The 17,138-nt window shown below is 43.5% G+C and overlaps 1 protein-coding gene across 1 annotated transcript in view, besides 4 other annotated features; it reads right to left on the bottom strand.

The window, feature by feature from the left end:
- Positions 1–17,138, bottom strand: part of MGMT (O-6-methylguanine-DNA methyltransferase) — a 303,743-nt gene that overhangs the window by 281,015 nt on the left and 5,590 nt on the right. The gene's annotated exons all lie outside the window — the stretch shown is intronic.
- Positions 13,774–14,462: an enhancer, noted in NCBI's record as "H3K4me1 hESC enhancer chr10:131273771-131274459 (GRCh37/hg19 assembly coordinates)". NCBI's record gives its function as "activates a minimal SCP1, AML or CMV promoter by ChIP-STARR-seq in primed H9 embryonic stem cells {active_cell/tissue: H9 hESC(primed)}" and the evidence as "EXISTENCE:reporter gene assay evidence [ECO:0000049][PMID:30033119]".
- Positions 15,841–16,530: an enhancer, noted in NCBI's record as "H3K27ac-H3K4me1 hESC enhancer chr10:131271703-131272392 (GRCh37/hg19 assembly coordinates)". NCBI's record gives its function as "activates a minimal SCP1, AML or CMV promoter by ChIP-STARR-seq in naive H9 embryonic stem cells {active_cell/tissue: H9 hESC(naive)}" and the evidence as "EXISTENCE:reporter gene assay evidence [ECO:0000049][PMID:30033119]".
- Positions 15,841–16,560: a biological region, named in NCBI's record as "H3K27ac-H3K4me1 hESC enhancer GRCh37_chr10:131271703-131272392".
- Positions 16,411–16,560: an enhancer, noted in NCBI's record as "active region_4202". NCBI's record gives its function as "activates an Ori minimal core promoter by ATAC-STARR-seq in GM12878 lymphoblastoid cells {active_cell/tissue: GM12878}" and the evidence as "EXISTENCE:reporter gene assay evidence [ECO:0000049][PMID:35858748]".

The following is a 17,138-nucleotide window of genomic DNA, read 5'->3' as shown; positions in this document are numbered from 1 at the left end:
ACATCGACTTAAAATGGAACTGGAGATCCTAGTGCAATATGACAAGTAAAAGAAAGAAATGGTTTACAGAGTAGAAGAAGCAAAACTCTGTCTATGTAGAAAAAACAAAGAATATATATGTGGTATATTCATTTTAAAAAATTAGAAAGTAAATTAAAGATGACATGAAAATTAATAGCATTTCCGCATATCAGTCATAAAGAAAAATCTAATCCTAGAAAAAGATACCATTTATAATATTAATGGCAACAACAAAAAATAAGGACACGGGGAGTATTTCAAAAGGTGCACAAGCTGTTTATGAAAAAACTTATTAAAATGTGAGAGACATTAAGGAAATCCAAGAGAGACAGAGAGTGCAAGAGCGCATATTCCTGAAGAGGCAGATTCATATCCTAAAGATCTTATTCTCCCCACATTAGTCTACAGACCCAAGGACGTCAATCAAAATACCAAACAGGTTAGTCTAAGAATGTGACAAGCTCATTGTGAAATGCGAATGGATGAGCAAAGGCCCCAAAAGAATCAAGAAACTCCTGAAGAGGAAAATGGAAAATCAAGATATGAGGATTTACTCACCAATTTTTTTTTTTTTTTTTTTTTTTTTTTGAGACAGAGTCCTGCACTGTCACCCAGGCTGGAGTGCAATGGCGCTATCTCAGCTCACTGCAACCTCCGCTTCCCGGGTTCATGCAATTCCCCTGTCTCAGCCTCCCGAGTAACTGGGATTACAGGCACACACCACCACACCCAGCTAATTTTTTCTATTTTTAGTAAAGATGGGGTTTCACTATGTTGGCTAGACTGGTCTCAAACTCCTGAACTCATGATCTGCCCACCTCAGTCTCCCAAAGTGCTGGGATTACAGGCATGAGCCACTGTGCCTGGCTGACTCATCAATTTTAAGAGTTAGCCTAAAGCTATAGTAATTAATGCATTGTGGCGTTAGTACAGAAAGACAAAAAGATCAATGGAACAGGAGAGCCTAGAAAAAGGCATGCGTCCACTTGGAATAGTCAGCAGCTCCAGCACCATTTACTGTGTCTCTCCTCATTTCTCTAGGGCTCTGCAGTGCCTCTCTTGCTCTATATCCACATGTCACATGTTTGTCATATATTTGCAGTGAAGCCGCTGCAGAGCCCTGGAGAAAGGTGGGGTTACTCTATACATGGGGCTGGAGCCACTGATTATTCATATTAAAAAAGAACTGAACTTCCACTCCATACCACAGCAGAAGTTAATTTCAAATGAGCTGCAGACTTGTATATGAAAAGGAAAACTGATACTTTCATAGGAAAATAGTGGAATTGTTATGACTGGGGATAAGGAAGCACTTTGAAACGAGACACAAAATGTGCAAACTATAAAGGAAAAGAATCATAAATTCAATTACATGCAACTATATTAAAATTAGAAACTCCTGTCCATCAAAAGGCACTATAAAGAGAATGAAAACATGGCCACAAACTGGGAGAAGACAATTGCAGCACATATAACAGACAAAGGATTAGAATTCAGACTATATAAGATAATCCTATAAGTTAATAACAAAAAGAAAATCCAACAGAAATATGGGCAGAAAGGGTATGAACAGGCATTTCGCAAAAGATGAATGGCAACACGAAAAGATGCTGAAGGTTGCTCTCAATCGGAAGTGCTAATTAAGATCACTATGAGACAGGATTTTTACCCAGTAGGTTAGCAGTGTTAGTAGCATGATAACTCCAAGTTTTGGTGAGGAGGTGGATTAACTGACTGGGGTCTAATCTGCTTTAACCATTTTTACAAAAGTTATTGTCCTGTAGCATTGAACACTGACACTCCAATCATTCTACCCTTGAGTAGAATGAGAGAAAATTTCAAAACTTAACCATCTGACAGTGAGAAACAGCTTGGCTTCCCACTACTAACCATATAGGTATATTCATGTGTGTGTGTGTGTGTGTGTGTGTGTGTGTGTGTGTATACCTATGTGTGTGTGTGTGTGTATACCTGCGTATACACCTATGTGTGTTTGTGTGTGTATATATATACACACACACACACACACACACACCCCTATATGGTATATATATACACACACACAGTCTCTCAATGTCTAGGATCCAACTTAAAACACACACATAAGAAGCAAAGAAATATAACCCACAATCAGAATATATACATACATACACCTACATGGTTAGCAGTGTATAAAGAAAATGAAAATGCAGGCCACAAACTGGGAGAAGAAAATTGCAGCCAATATACCTGACAAAGGATTAGAATCCAGACTATATAAAATAATCCTATAAATCAATAAGAAAAAGAAATCCCAACAGAAACACAGGCAGAAAGGATATGAACAGGCATTTCATATATAGTGTGTGTACATATATATATACAATTTTTTGATTCCCTTCCGGAGGGAAGCAAAAAAAAAGGAAAACAAAATTCAGACAACCAGAAGAGAAAGAAATTTCCTTTCTACCAAAAGTCTATAGGAGGCATCATTTTTGGTAATGATAATATAGTGTATATACCATACATACACACACACATTCCTATTCTTTAAAACTTACATGTAATCCAAAACTGTGCAAGTGAACCCATTTTCTCCTTTACTTCCTAGCAACCCCAGAGATGTGATGTCACTGGAACAAGTTTGGCCTTTACAGATAATCAGAGTCCTACTTGAAAAACTCACTGTTCCTCTGAGGAACCACTGCAACCATCATGACTTCTTCCATTCTGTATGCTCATGTGGACCCCCATGAGAGCAGGGCAAACCATCCAAGCCACCTGCAGGTCCCCATACACTTATGCAGGGCACCTAATTATTCTTTGTCAAGAGTGGGCATGGCTTCAGGAAAAGTGTCATCTCAACAAGCAGGAGGCTAGTGCTGGGTGGTTCATACCAGCTATCCAAGTAGCCCAGGACAAAAGACAGCCCTAGTTGATTGATTTTTCAAATGCAGAGTTGCACAGGGCTCTCTAGGCTGCCCGGGTAGACTGCCATACAAGGCTTTAACGTTATCACCACTATTACATTTAACTGATTAAAGTCCTGACTGCCAGAGGCATTAATGACAGTGTTGTGCGAGTTCTAGCAGGAAAGAATACACTCTTCTTCTGTCTGGTCTCATTTTTGACAACATGAAAATGCTGAAATGACAGACATCAACAGAATACATTTCTAGTGATGACACACACTTAAGCCTGCAATGATGACAAGAGAAAAATAATGTGAATCAAAGACGCCCTTTGTTTCCTCTGCCTTCCCAATCTTGGGTCCCCTCCATATAAAGTTTGAACAGTCCTTCTTCAGAGTAGAAATACAAATAAATTTTTTTATGTTTCTTAACAGAAAGTCAGTTAAGGTTTATACCAATTTCACCAAACACCTGTGATCTGGGATTCACTTGTGAATTTCTCAAACAGTACAGGGAAAGACTGAGTATGAGCTGAACGACCAAAAAGCATACAGAAAATACAATAACCGGCTGGGCGCAGTGGCTCACACCTGTAATCCCAGCACTTCTGGAGGCTGAGGCAGGTGGATCACCTGAGGTCAAGAGTTCGAGAATAGCCTGGCCAACGTGGCAAAACCCCATCTCTACTAAAAATGCAAAAAATTAGCCAGGCGTGGTGATGGGCACCTGTAATCCCAGCTACTTGGGAGGCTAAGGCAGGAGAATTGCTTAAACCCAGGAGACAGAGGTCGCAGCGAGCCAAGATCATGCCATCGCACTCCAGCCTGAGCAACAGAGCAAGACTCTGTCTACCCCCCACCAAAAAAAAAAAAAAAAAAAGAGAAGAGAAGAGAACAGAGAAGAACAGAACCACACCTTGACTTGGTTAGCTGTGCCTAAATTTAGAAGGTAAATTAGTTTTCTTCAACTCTGTTTCCATGAGAAAAAAAAATTAAAAAGGCTATCTATCTATATCAAGTCTAATAAGGTAGATGAACTTAAATTAAGTCTTCTTGAAAATTATTGTCCTTTGAATTCTTATTCTGTGAGGGCCAGAATAAGCAGGCTTAAACATGCCTAGAAAGCAGTCAGTGAAGCTTTCTTTTCACCCACTTCAGGCTGGTAAAAAGTCTGGGGTCAGGGCCAGAGGGCTTTGTGTAATCTGAGCAATCTCAGTCTGGTAACAGCCCAGCAGGCCTCTCTTTTATTTTTATGAGTCCACTAATAACTTGGTGGGGATCCCACTTCTAGCCATGACAGAGCAGCAAGAACCACATGTAACAGCTAAAACGAAATAAAGTCCAGGATGAGTAGCCTGAAATTCTGGGAACCAGAAGTGCTTCAGGTTTTAGATTTTTCTGGATTTGGGAATATTTGCAAATACTTACAGTTGGAGCATCCCTAATCCAAAAATCCAAAATGCTCCAATAAGCATTTCCTTTGAGCATCAGCTTTGAGCAGCATGTCAATGTTCAAAAATTTTCAGATGCTGTAGCATTTCAGATTTTGAATTAGGGGTGCTCAACTTTTATATAAAACAATGGTCTTCAGAACAAGGACAACAGCAGCCAGGGGCTATGCTCCCCAAGGAAAGGGAAGTGAAGTGAGCCAGCCGCCAGAGAACGGCTGGATGCAGCCTCCAGGCTGTGCCAAGGAGGAGGAGGGTCATCTGGCACAAAACCAGTGGGTGCTCTCACCAAAGTGGGGAGAGAGATTAGAATTCAAAAAGAACAAAACACCTAGAATCATCAGGATGGAGTACCAGGGAAGAAGGGCCTACTCAGAGAACACGCCAGGCATCTCCAGAAGAGTCCCTGTGGCCTCTGCCTAACTACTGAGACACTGCTTGAGAAGGAACTCCCTGAGGTCAAAGAAAGATGCCCAGAAGTAGCAGCCCAAATAATTCCTGATCACAGACAGAGCTGGGAATATTTCATGTTCTCACCAGCCAGTGTGGAAAGATCTCCTAATACAACATTCATCAGGTAAAGACCTCAGAGCTGCCTTATTTTTCATATATATACATATATATGTAATACATATATATTTAATACACACATATATAAAATACACACATACATATATATAATACACACACACATACATATATACACATACACACACCCTTATAAAGTAAAGACATTATGTAAATAGTAGGACTAAACTATCCCTGGACTAAAACCTGGTCTGGACCTGCCCTAACAAAACCTTTTTTTAAAAAAAGCATGATACCTTGAAAGGATACAAACAATTTCAAGAAACTGAACCTGCAGCAGAACAAAGTCCAAAACTGTTTTTTAAAAGACAACATAATCTAGCACTCCACAACAAAACTCTCAATGTCTAGGATCCCATTTAAAACACACACACATGAGAAGCAGAGGGATATAACCCACAATCAGGAGAAAAATCATTCAACAGAACCAAACCCAGAAAAGTAGAGATGCGTAAAACAAGGGGACTGGGACATAAAAACAGTTCTTATAAACATGCTCCATATTTGAGAAGATAGAGGAGAACCCACATATGACATGAGAAATAGAAGATATTTTAAAAGGCCCATATGGAGCATATAGAGATGTAAAATGCAGTCTCTAAAGTAAAAAATACAATCGATAGGATGTACAGATTAGATGCAGCAGAAGGAAAAAATAGCAACAATGAGAAAATAACGTTTTTTAAACTATCAAGGCACAGAAACACAAAAAGACTGAGGAAATGAGCAGGGCTCAGGGAGACACAGGACAGTATGAAGCAGCACATGCGCAATTGGAGCCTCAGAAAAAGGGGAGGCAGGAAAAATATCTGAAGAAATATTCAGTGACATTTCCTCAAATCTGATGAAAAATCTATATGAGGTAAAACAAGGTTGAGCACACCTAATCCAAAATGCTCCAAAACCCAAAAACTGCACCAACACAATGCCACAATTGGAAAATTCCACACCTGACCTTGTATGACAGGTCTCAGTTGAAATACAGTCAAAATTTTGTAACATGCACAAAATTATTTAAAATAATACATAAGATTTCCTGCAGGCTATGTGGATAAGGTATATGTGAAACAAAAATTCCATGTTTAAACTTGGGTCACATCCCCAAGGTATCTATATCTATATCTATCTATCTATATATCTATTTATCTACCTATCTATCTATGCAAATATTCCAAAATCCAAAAAAAATCCAAAATCAGAAACACTTCTAGTCCCAACCATTTCAGATAAGGGATATGTAACCCATTCTCACAGATGCAAGAAGCTCAGTGAAACCCAAGCAGAAGAAACATAAAAACAAATAATCAAACAGCTGAAAACAAGTGACAAAGAGAAAACCTTAGTGGCCAGAGGTGGCAAAAATGCCAGATTACATACAGAAGAACAAATTTAAGAATGACGGCAAACTGATCATCAGAAACTATGCAAGGCAGAACACAATGGAACAACATCTTTAAAGTATTAAAAAGCAAAAAAACAGGTCAACCTAGAATTCACATTTTTTCAAGAATGCAGGTGAGACAAAGGCTTTTTTCAAAAAACAAAAACAAATGCATGACAATTCAGACACCAGCAGACCTGCACTTGAGAAATGATGGTACAAGGTTTTCAGGTGTAAAAAAAATGGTACTCAATGGAAACTAGGATCTACACAAAGGAATGAGGATTTCAAAAAACAGTAAATATGCAAATAAATGTAAATTCTGGATTTTTTAAATCTCTTTAAAAGAAAACTGATTGCCCAACATAAAAATAGTAACTCTATATATTGGAGAATATTACATATGTAGCAATAATATAACAAAAAATGGGATGAGAGAAATTGAAGCATACTTTTGTTAAGGTGCTTATTCTGCATGTGAAGTTGTATTATATCACATGAATGCAGATTATGATAAGCATAAGCTAAGTATGTACATTACACATCCTAAAGCAGCCACTAAAAAAGAAGAGAGATAGCTAACAAGCCAACAGTGTAGACAGAATGTTAAATTGGAATCATTCAAAAACATATCCAAATAACTGAAAAGAAGCTACGGAAGATGGAGGAAGGGCAAAAAGAACAAATTGGTGAATGACAAATGAACAGCCAGATGGTATACTTAAACCCAACCATATTAATAATTACATTAAATGTAAATGGTCTAAATACTCCAATTTTACAAAGACATTGTCAGATTAGATTTTTTAAAGCAAGAGACCCAACTGTGTTTTCTACAAGAAACACACATTAAATGTAATGACAAGAACAGGTTCAACATAAAAGAATGGAAAAACAGTTACCACAGAAACACTAATCAAAAGAAAGCTGGAGTGGCTATCCTAATATCAAATAATTTCAAAAAAGGAATATGACAACAAAACTAGAGAAGGCCATTTCATAAGAGTAAAGGTTAATTCCCCATGAGGATGTTAAAATTCTAAACATGTATGCACCTAATGAAATCACTTAGAACAGATGAACCAAGAACCAACAGAACTGAAAGGGGTAATAAGTCTCCAATCATAGCTGGAGATGTCAATACTCCTAATAATTTTTAGAATAGGGAAACAAAATTCAATAAGGATATAGAAGGCTTGAAGAGCATTATCAACAAACCTTACCCAACTACATTTAAAGAGCACTCCACCCAAGAACCACAGAGTATACACTTTTCAAACATCCACCAAGGTAGACCATATTCTGGGCTGTAAAACAACTCTCAACAAATCTAGGAGGATTAAAATCATAACAGGTATGTCCTCTGATTACAAGGTAACTCACCCCTGCAGATCAATAACAGAAAAATACTGGGAAAGTACCCAAATATTTTTTAAATCCCCAAATTCTTGGAAATTAAATGATGTACTAATAAATAACCCAAGCATTAAAGAAGAAACCACAAGGAAAATTGGGAAATACGCCACTCTGAATCAAAATGAAAACACAGCATGTCTATCTGTGAGCACACCTAAAGCAGTGCTTAGAGAGAATTTTTAGCATTAAATGTTTATATGAGAAAAGAAGAAAGGAAAACCAAATGATCTAAGCCTCTACCCTAAGAAACTACAAAAAAGAAAGCAAACTAAACTGAAAGTAAGCACAAGAAAGCAATAATAAACAGGAGAAATCAGTAAGAGAGAAAAATCAAGTAACGAAAGTTGGCTCTCTGAAAAGAAACAGATAAACCTCTAGCCAGACCAGTTAGCAAAAAAGGGGACAAAGTGCAAATTACCAATATCAGGAATAAAAATAAGGACATGACTCAAAATCCCACAGACATTAAAAGGATAATAAAGGAATATAAAAATAACTTTAGGCCAATAAATTCAACAAACTTAGATGAAATGGTCAAATTCCTTGACAAATACAAAATCCCAAAAAGTCACTCAAGAAGAAATAAATGACCTGAATGGCCCTATAGCTACTAAAAAAAACTGAATTCATAGTTAATGTTATTTTCACAAAGAAAACTTCAAACACAAATGGCTTCACTGGTAAATCTTATGAAGCATTTAAAGAAGAGACAATGCTAACGGTACACAAACTAATCCAAAATATAGAAGAGGCCTCATTTTATGAGTGCAAGATTGCCCTCCTAACAAAGCAGACAGACACTCCAGGAATGCTGCTGACCAACACCTCTCATGAACAGACACACAATCCTCAAACATATCCACACGTCAAATCCAGCAATCTATGAAAACAGTAATTCACCAAGTCCAGGTGGGCATTTATCCAGGAACACAAAATTGGTTGAAGACATGGAAACCAATGAGAGTTATCCACCATATTCACTGCAGAAAAGAGTAAAACATCCCCCATCTGCTAAAGGGCACCTGCACAAACTATGGCTGACCACACACCGCACGGTGAAAGACAACACAGAAGCCATGCTGGGGAAAACCGTGGATGCCTCCGCAAGGGCCAAGATATTGACACCAAACTCTAGGAGGAAGGCACGGTCAGGGCAACAGGCAGGTTCACTTCAGAATGCCCTGAGGAAGCAATCAAACTTCACTAAATCTTGACCTTCTAAACATTCTGTGACCTAACGGGAAGCGCAGCAAAGCACTTCTGCCACAAACCAGAATGACGCTGCCACCAGGAGGGCTCCGCAAATGGCAGAGACTGCTGATGAACTTACCAACTTCATTTTAGAACAAAAGCTTTGCTAGTGTGAATGACTCACAAACAACAGTTATTCAGACTTGCATATCTGGCGGATGTTTTCTCAAAAATGAATAGTCTGTACCTGTAATGAACACAACTGACAGTATCTGCTGCTGATGATAAAAGGGGAACTTTCTTTTTAAAAAATGTTTTTGTAGAGACGGGATCTTGCTATATTGCCCAGGCTGGTCTCCAACTCCTGGCCTCAAGTGATCCTCCCACCTCAGCCTCCCAAAGTGCTGGAATCACAGTCATGAGCCAGTGTGCCCAGCCAGAACTTTCAAGTGATGATTAAAATGTTAGAATACTGGTACCCACCACCATGGCTTCCCAATACTAAATGACTTTCCTAAGGAGAAAGGTGGTGATATTAACAAATATTATTTTTAGGACTGTATTAGGAAACATCAATATTTGAAAGATCTGTATAACTCAATGAAGCAACATTTTCCACAGGGCCGATGAAAGACGCTACAAAATCACTCAAAGTGCAAGGCATACCTGTGGATTTTAACGTCATAGAGAGCAAAAAGTTCACAGAGCGGGTCTCGGATTGCACCCTGCTACAAACCCTCAGGAAATTACCACTTGCCGAGTCCTGATGTAGTGTCAAAGGAGAACATCCTCAATTATCTGAGGAAGCTGTTAAAACACTATTCCCTTTTAATTACTTACCTGAGTGAGGCCAGATTCTCTTGATGCGCTTCAACCCAAACATATCACAACAGACTGAATGAAGCAGGAGAAGCTAGCTGTCTTCTATTCATCCAGGCATTATGAAGTTTTAAAAAATGGAAACTGATAACATTCCTCCCTAATTGGTTTTTATGGAAAATATAGCTAGTTTTTATTTTAAAATGTTATTTATGCAAAAAGCTAATAGGTTTATTGTCTAAATGAATCAATATTTTAAAATTTCTCACTGCTAATTTCTAATGGGGTATTAATATATAACTCAGGTAATCTCTTTGGGATCCCTCATAAGTTTTAACTGTGCAAAAAGGCTCTGAGACCAAACAATGTGAGGACCCCCAGCAAGGAGGGCAAACACAGATCCCACCCCACCACTCCACCCCCACCCCAACCCCTCCACAACACGGAGAGGGCCCTTTAGGGACCTAATCTCACCTTCTACAAACGTGAGAACGGAGAAACACACTCATGTCCTCCACCAAAGGAAGAACATGAGGGTTCTTGTCTGCCCTCGTAGGAAAATGCTTGTTCTCCCTTTTTTCATAAAAGCTTTCCACCACCTCCACTCTACCATCATCACTCACACAAACTTTTCCACAAAAACATGACTGATTCTCTTTGGGAGACGTTCTCATAAGGATCCACTCGAGAACTTTTCACTATTTTAGCTTAAAGTTGGAAAAAACGAGCAGAATACTTTGGCACAGCAAGTCAGTATATGACTACAATTCCATATGAAAACATTTAAAATACATTAGATTTTTGGTCAAGATGAAAGACAAAAAAAAATCAACCAATCTATTTTAATTGGGTTCCCATGGTAACTGTACAATTGGGTTTTTCAATATAACATCCCCAAGGCCCAACGCATACTTGTAAAATATACTTCCAACAGCCTGAATTGTTTTTACATTACAGCACTCCCAGGAAGATCAATTATTATATGTCCCCACCCTAACTATTAGTGGCAGGAGATGTTAACACTATTTGCCATATTAACATAACTCATGTAAGGAACACTACATATCACAATAATTATATAAAACTAATCATACACTTCAGATTCATCAAACATGTTCTGGGTAATAAACTGATACAACTGCTGTCACAGAACCGTGTTTACGAAATGTAAGAAATCACGCCCAACTACAGACCAAACCATTATGCCTCTCTTATTGATTTCAAGGATAAACAGAATCAATCATTAATAATTACAGGATAAGATGACCCTCAAGGTTAATCATATTCTTAGAGATTCTCACTATGGAACTGAACAACAAACAAGCTGTGCTAATAAGTAAATAAATAAATAAAAGATAACGAAGAACTGAAATCCACACTTCAAATAGAGCACTACAGGAAGCAGAACACATTCCCCAAGCCAGGACTCTGGCTTCACCTGTATTCACCACAGCATCTGCTCCCTGCACAGCTGGGCCCCCCAAAGCCAGATGCCAGGGGCACAGTGCCAGCCTGCACTGCAAGGCCACAGCCAGCCAGAAGTAGGGGCATAGCCAGAGCTTAGGAATGGCAAGATCCTTCAGGAAAAGGCTGACAATTTGAGTTTCCTTTGCAACAATCATAAAATCCCTGTGAACTTGATATATTTTGCAGATCTACAATCCACAGCATGAATTGGTGAGTTAGACAGAAGTAAATTTAACCTTTTCTATCTACCTTTTCTATGTCCCCCCATCAGTAGCCACATAAGCCAATTTGGTGAGGTGTGGGCCAGCGGGGCTTTCAGCAAGAAATGTCTTGCAAGGCCCCTAAATCAACAGAGACCTCCAAACAGTCTCAGAGAGCTATCTTAGCCTGAAAAGCAGCAAAGAGTATGGTTCTGAGAGATGTAGCTGGTGTCCAACCAGACGACCACATGCTGTCCTTTGAACCAGGCTGGATTAGTGTGTGTATACTGACCAATCTGGAGGGGGGGAAAAAATCAACCAACCAACAAAAAGAATCCCAATGAACCTGTAGAGACTGGTTTTAAAAACCCAGTCTGGCAGCATTTGAGCTGGTCTCTCCTTCCCATCAGGGCGCAGGTTCCTCTACCGCTTACCAGAGCAAGCCCACCCAGGGCCAGGACAGCACCAGGCCTTTCCATGGTCTGCTGGCTTCTGGAGTCTCCTGTCTTGCCTGCTGTCCCCTATTCCCACAACCACTGATGTTTCTGGTCATGAAATCTGGGTTTCTGTTTGTTACTTGTTTTTTACTGCAATACACTCATATCTTTTGGGATGCCAAGAGCTAAACCTGAGAACAGTGCCTTTTTGGAGCACTGTCTGATGACAAAGTTATCCTCAGCCCCAAATTCCAACTTCATACACAATCCCTTGATGAGTTTTGTGCCTTTGAAACAACTTTAGTCTGTAATTCACCTATATATTGGTTTGCCTGGGCTGCCGTAACAAAATACCAGACTGGGGGCTTAACCAACAGACATTTATCTTCTCACGGTTCTGGAGGCTGGCAAGTGAGAGCTGCTGGTCCTGGCTGATTCCGTTTCCAGTGAGGGCTCCTTTCCTGGCTTGCACACAGCCTCCTCCTCGCTGTGTCCTCACACGGTATGGGAGGGAGAGATCCTCTCTTTCTCTTCTAAGAAAAAAGATCCTCTCTTTCTCTGCCAAGGCCATCAATCCTAGCAGAGTAGGATCCCACTCTTATGACTCAGTTAGCCTTAATTTCCTCCTAAAGGCCCTGTCTCCAAATACAGCCAAATTGGAGGTCAGGACTTCAGCCTGTGAATCTTGGGGACACGGTTCAGTCCACAGCACCCTGTGTCCAGCACTCTGTGCTGGGCCTTCCATCCAGTAGAAACCACACACCAGGCCTTGGAGAGCATCCAATCTAGCATCCCACCATCAAGAGATGGAAACAATACAAGTCTAGTAGAAAACAGTGGTGTGTGAAGGGCCCCAGACAGAGAGAGATCGTGGGGGCTGAAGTAGCTTCTGGAAGAAGTGAGAGTGGGGAAGATTGAGAGAGAGGGCAGCAGAGCATGTCTGCGTGGGGATCGGGTCAGAAGAGGTTCCCTGAGGATAGAGCAGAGGCTGCTCTGGGAAGAGAGGGACACGAGTCCCCCACTCACCCAACCTCAGGGCAGAGCACAGATGCAGAGGCCCAAACACAGGAGGCCAGCACTGCCGGGGTCCCACGAGCCCACAGACTTGCCTGGCCTGAGAGAGGGGTCCACAGGCGGGGAGGCTGCGAGGACCATGCGGCTGGCTCTCACCCTGTCTGTGCCAGTGCCCAGCTCAAAACCATTTCTGGTCTTCACTAAGCTACTCCTGTGGTGGACCCTGCCACTCAGTCTGGTGTGGGTTTGACATGTCCAGAAGCTTCCCAGGTGTCTTAAAGATAGAAGAGGGAGGCAGTGTGGGCGTGCAGGACACCCTGAGTTGGGAGGGTCCCCGGCCCCTTGTAGCAGGACACACAGGGCAGCACCCCTTCCAGCCAAGCCCTGCAGCCCCAGCATGGCCTTGGTGCCAGAGCTGACCTCCCCACCCAGCCACTCCCAGCAGCCTGGCGATGGGTCCTAGCATCCTGAGTCACGCCGGCTAAGCTGGGGCAGTGTGAGCACCCAGGAACCCCAACAGACCATGGAACCAGCACTGCCCCAGGCAGCGGTTCCCCCAGGAGCCATGGGATTCCTGGGAACCCAGGACACCCCTGGAGACCACGGAGCTGCTTCTCCTCAGCCAACACCAGAGCCTTCTACCTTTCCAAGAAGCCGTCTGCTGCAACTGTCATGATCTCCACAGCTGGGGGAGAAGCGTCTCAGGCCCAAAGAAGGCAAGTCTTATGAGCAAAAGATCCTCACACCCAGAAGAGAAAAATGTCTGAGGAAGTGAGAACCATGACCCTGAAGGCTTTCTGGAGTGACAAACAATCCAAAAAATGTGACAAGGACAGCGGGGGCCATGTCCAGCTAAAGGGAAGTGACCCAGGCTCTGGGAGATGTTCTAATTACACTCATGGCAAAATACAACAGGAAGGCTTATAAGCCCATGCTTCCGGAGAACCAAAAAAAAAGAAAATTCAACGACTGCTTCTGCCTCAAGGCCCAGGTGGACTCAAGCTAGTGGCAAAGTGACAGCAGTGATGTCCAGGAGGACCCTGGAATGAGAGCCGAGGGAGGCAGGGACCACCCACCCCAGTCTGCCTGGGACATCCCCATTTTAGCACAGAAAGTCCTGCCTCCTGGCAAATGGTTGGTCAGCTGTGAATATGGTCATGGATTGTGGCTTTCCAAGAGCCTGTGCTCTTGCTGGGCCAAGGATGACCACAGGGTGGTCAACTATGGCCAAGAGGGTAGATAACGTTGAACTTTAAGAACACTAACTTCAGAACCTGTGCATTCCTTCCAAGGAACAGTTCTTATTTCAGAAGTGGCACCATGGAAGCAACCTCCTCAGCAACCTCCTGTGTCCTGGTGGGAAGCCCCTCCCTTCCCACGTCGCCTGCCTCTCAGGCTGGCCTGGGCTGGAGGCTGACGGCCTGCAGAGGCACTGGGAGTGTGCTGATCGGCCCGCACCCCGCACAACCACAGCATCCATCTGACTCGACAGCTTAATCTGATGATAACACAATGGTGACAGAAACGAATTTTTCTGCACAATAAAGAATAGCACACATGGGCTTTTCTTGGGCTAGCTAGCTAAATTCAGTAACTTTTAGAAATATATCATTCCTTTTCTTCGCCCATTATTCTAGGAACTTCCCCTCGAGCGTTAAAGGCCTTATAAGACCCGCAGCATCCGCCGTGCCTCACGCCTCTCATGCACTGTGCTGAGGGTGGCACGCACTTTCTCATCTGATCCCCCATCACCCAGACACACACAGCCCTGCCCTGCTGGCATGACTTTAACTAGATGACAACTGCAGGAGGCTGAGACCCTGGCTTTAACACTCCTAGAGTGAATCCAGGCCTGCAACAGTGGCCTCAATGCTCCCCACCCCACCCCGTGACCCTCATAGGACCTCCCATCTGTGCTTCCAACACACCGACCTGCAGCCATCTAGGCACCTGCAGCTCTCACTCGTCCCCTGGAAGCCTCCTCCCCAGACCTTGCCACCTCTCACTGTTCAAATCTCCACTCGAAAGCCACCTCCTCAGAGGGGACTTCTTCAACATCTTCAACCACTTACCAAGCTCCCCAACACCCCCCCCAACAAAGGCCAGGCTCTTCACCTCATTCAGTCTAGCCAGCCCTCACCAGTACCTACAAAATGTATGGGTGTGACAAGCACGTCTCCCTACCACACGGGGAGCCCCTTGAAGACAAGGCCACTGCGAGCCCAGGGCCCGGAGGAAGCCCAGCCACCCTCGTCAATCTCTGCTGCCCAGGGGCACACTCAGCCGCACCAGCCCACGAAACACGTCATGGTGTTTAAGGCCCCAGCACACACTATTTCTAATTTGCATTCTGATGTGACTGTACCTCTAACACCTGACGGTTTGGTTTTTAAAATTCCGTGACTCCTGCAGGACGTACAGGTTGCCCCCAACAGGGACAGGCTGGGGTGGGAGCAATGGTAATGAGCCTGGGTCCACCGCTGCCATCCTCGCCTGAACGCGGCTGCAGTCGGGAAATCTCCCGCCTCAGAACCCAGATGCCAGGCAGGGCAGAGGGCGGCCTGTCTACCCTTCCAAAGCCAGATCCTTTATCTGGCTTCCCTCACATAAAAAGCACACACACCAAGGCTTTCGTCTCTCTCAATAAGAAAAGCGATTCTAAACTTAGTCCCTCACAACCACACTCTGCGACTCCCACCTGCTCCGCTCTCACCAGAAGCCACCAGGGTTGACCCCAGCTATACCTCCTGGAACTGTCCCCGCCCTGCCAGGCCTGCTGCCACCATCCTGCATCCTCTGCCCCAATCAGTCCCCTGCCAGCCCCGTGATCTTCTCTGGGAAGCACTGACAGGCTAGTGTTCCCCACTCACAAGACTCCCAAGGCCCTTCACCCAGCGCAGCATTTGGGCTCCGCAGGCCCTGGCCCCACTGGCTAGCTCTGCCTTCCTGTCCAGCCCCACATGCTTGCCACACCCTGCTCAAATTCAACTATGGCCAGGTCCCCAAATGTACCCGCATCCATAGTCCCACTGCTCTGCTCAAAATGCCCACCCCTTGGGCCACTTGGAGAAACCTGACCGGTAGCCACAGTCCCGCAAATGTTTCAGAGGGAATCAGGCATGGGTCCCTGGCCTGCAGGGACATGGTGAAGCGTGTGCACAGTCCCGGGACATGGCTGGCCCTCTGCATCCTCCCATCTTTCCTCTGGCCCCACTGCCCTGGTCGTTCCACTCTCTAGTGGGGTGCGGGGTAGGCACAAGGCACACGCAGGGACAGCTTTGCCATCCCCAAGTCCTCACTGCACCCAGCCTCAGCTACGGCTCAACGCCTTCAAGCAGGAATACACTTGGGCGAATTGCTTTTCCCACAATGCTAAAGACAACACTTGGTCACATTGATGTTCAGAAAACATTAGCTACATAAACAGGTCTGTGTCTGTTTACACCCTGTCTTGCCCCTTAAAGGACTTCTAACAGCTTCTCAGGCTCATCGTTGCAAAGCCAGCCTGGCACAAGTGGTTATGAGCCTGCACTTGGTTATCAAATAAATCTGGGTTGAAAACAAAACTCTACCTCTATCCCAGGAGACCTGTGCAAGTCACTCAAACTCTCCGAGGCCCGGGTTCCTCATATGCAAAATAAAGACACTCACAGCGCCTTCTCCTTCATGGGGTGGTGGTGAGCCTTTCCTAAGTTGGTCTGTACAAGGCAACAAGCGCAGCACGCCCAGAATAACCACCAGGGTGAGCTGAACCATGACAGGAGATTAAGGAGACACCCCAAATAAAAATAAGGCCCATTTCCACAAACACACGAAATGCTGCAGACTTCCCATTTTTGACCAAGTTTACCCAGCGGACCTGCGTTACCCCTCACTGCTGTGATCTAAACGGCCGTCACACATGGGAAAATACTGTCACATGCTGGTGTCACTGCTGGTTCCTGGCCACTGCCATCGTGTCAGATCCTGTGTCCGTCCTTTGGGAAGTTCTTTCAATATAACAGATGAATAATGTCAAGGCTCCCAGTGTCTCGGGCTATCAGCAACTGCCAAGTGCCCCTAGGAGCACACATGAAGCCCACCTGCCCACTCTAGGCCGATGTGGCACACCTGAACCTTTAGAATGCTGCCACGTCGAGAATGTCTACTGTGAAAAGACAGAAGCAGGTGGCAGAGCCAGTAGCCTCTTTACAGACAAAAGGACTTCAGGGACCTAGTAAATGAATAGGGAACTACCTTATGCTGCACACAGACAATGCACTGTGA

This window comes from Homo sapiens, chromosome 10 (assembly GCF_000001405.40).
Source record: "Homo sapiens chromosome 10, GRCh38.p14 Primary Assembly".
Lineage (NCBI taxonomy): Eukaryota > Metazoa > Chordata > Mammalia > Primates > Hominidae > Homo > Homo sapiens.
This window is presented reverse-complemented; position numbering and strand designations above follow the sequence as displayed.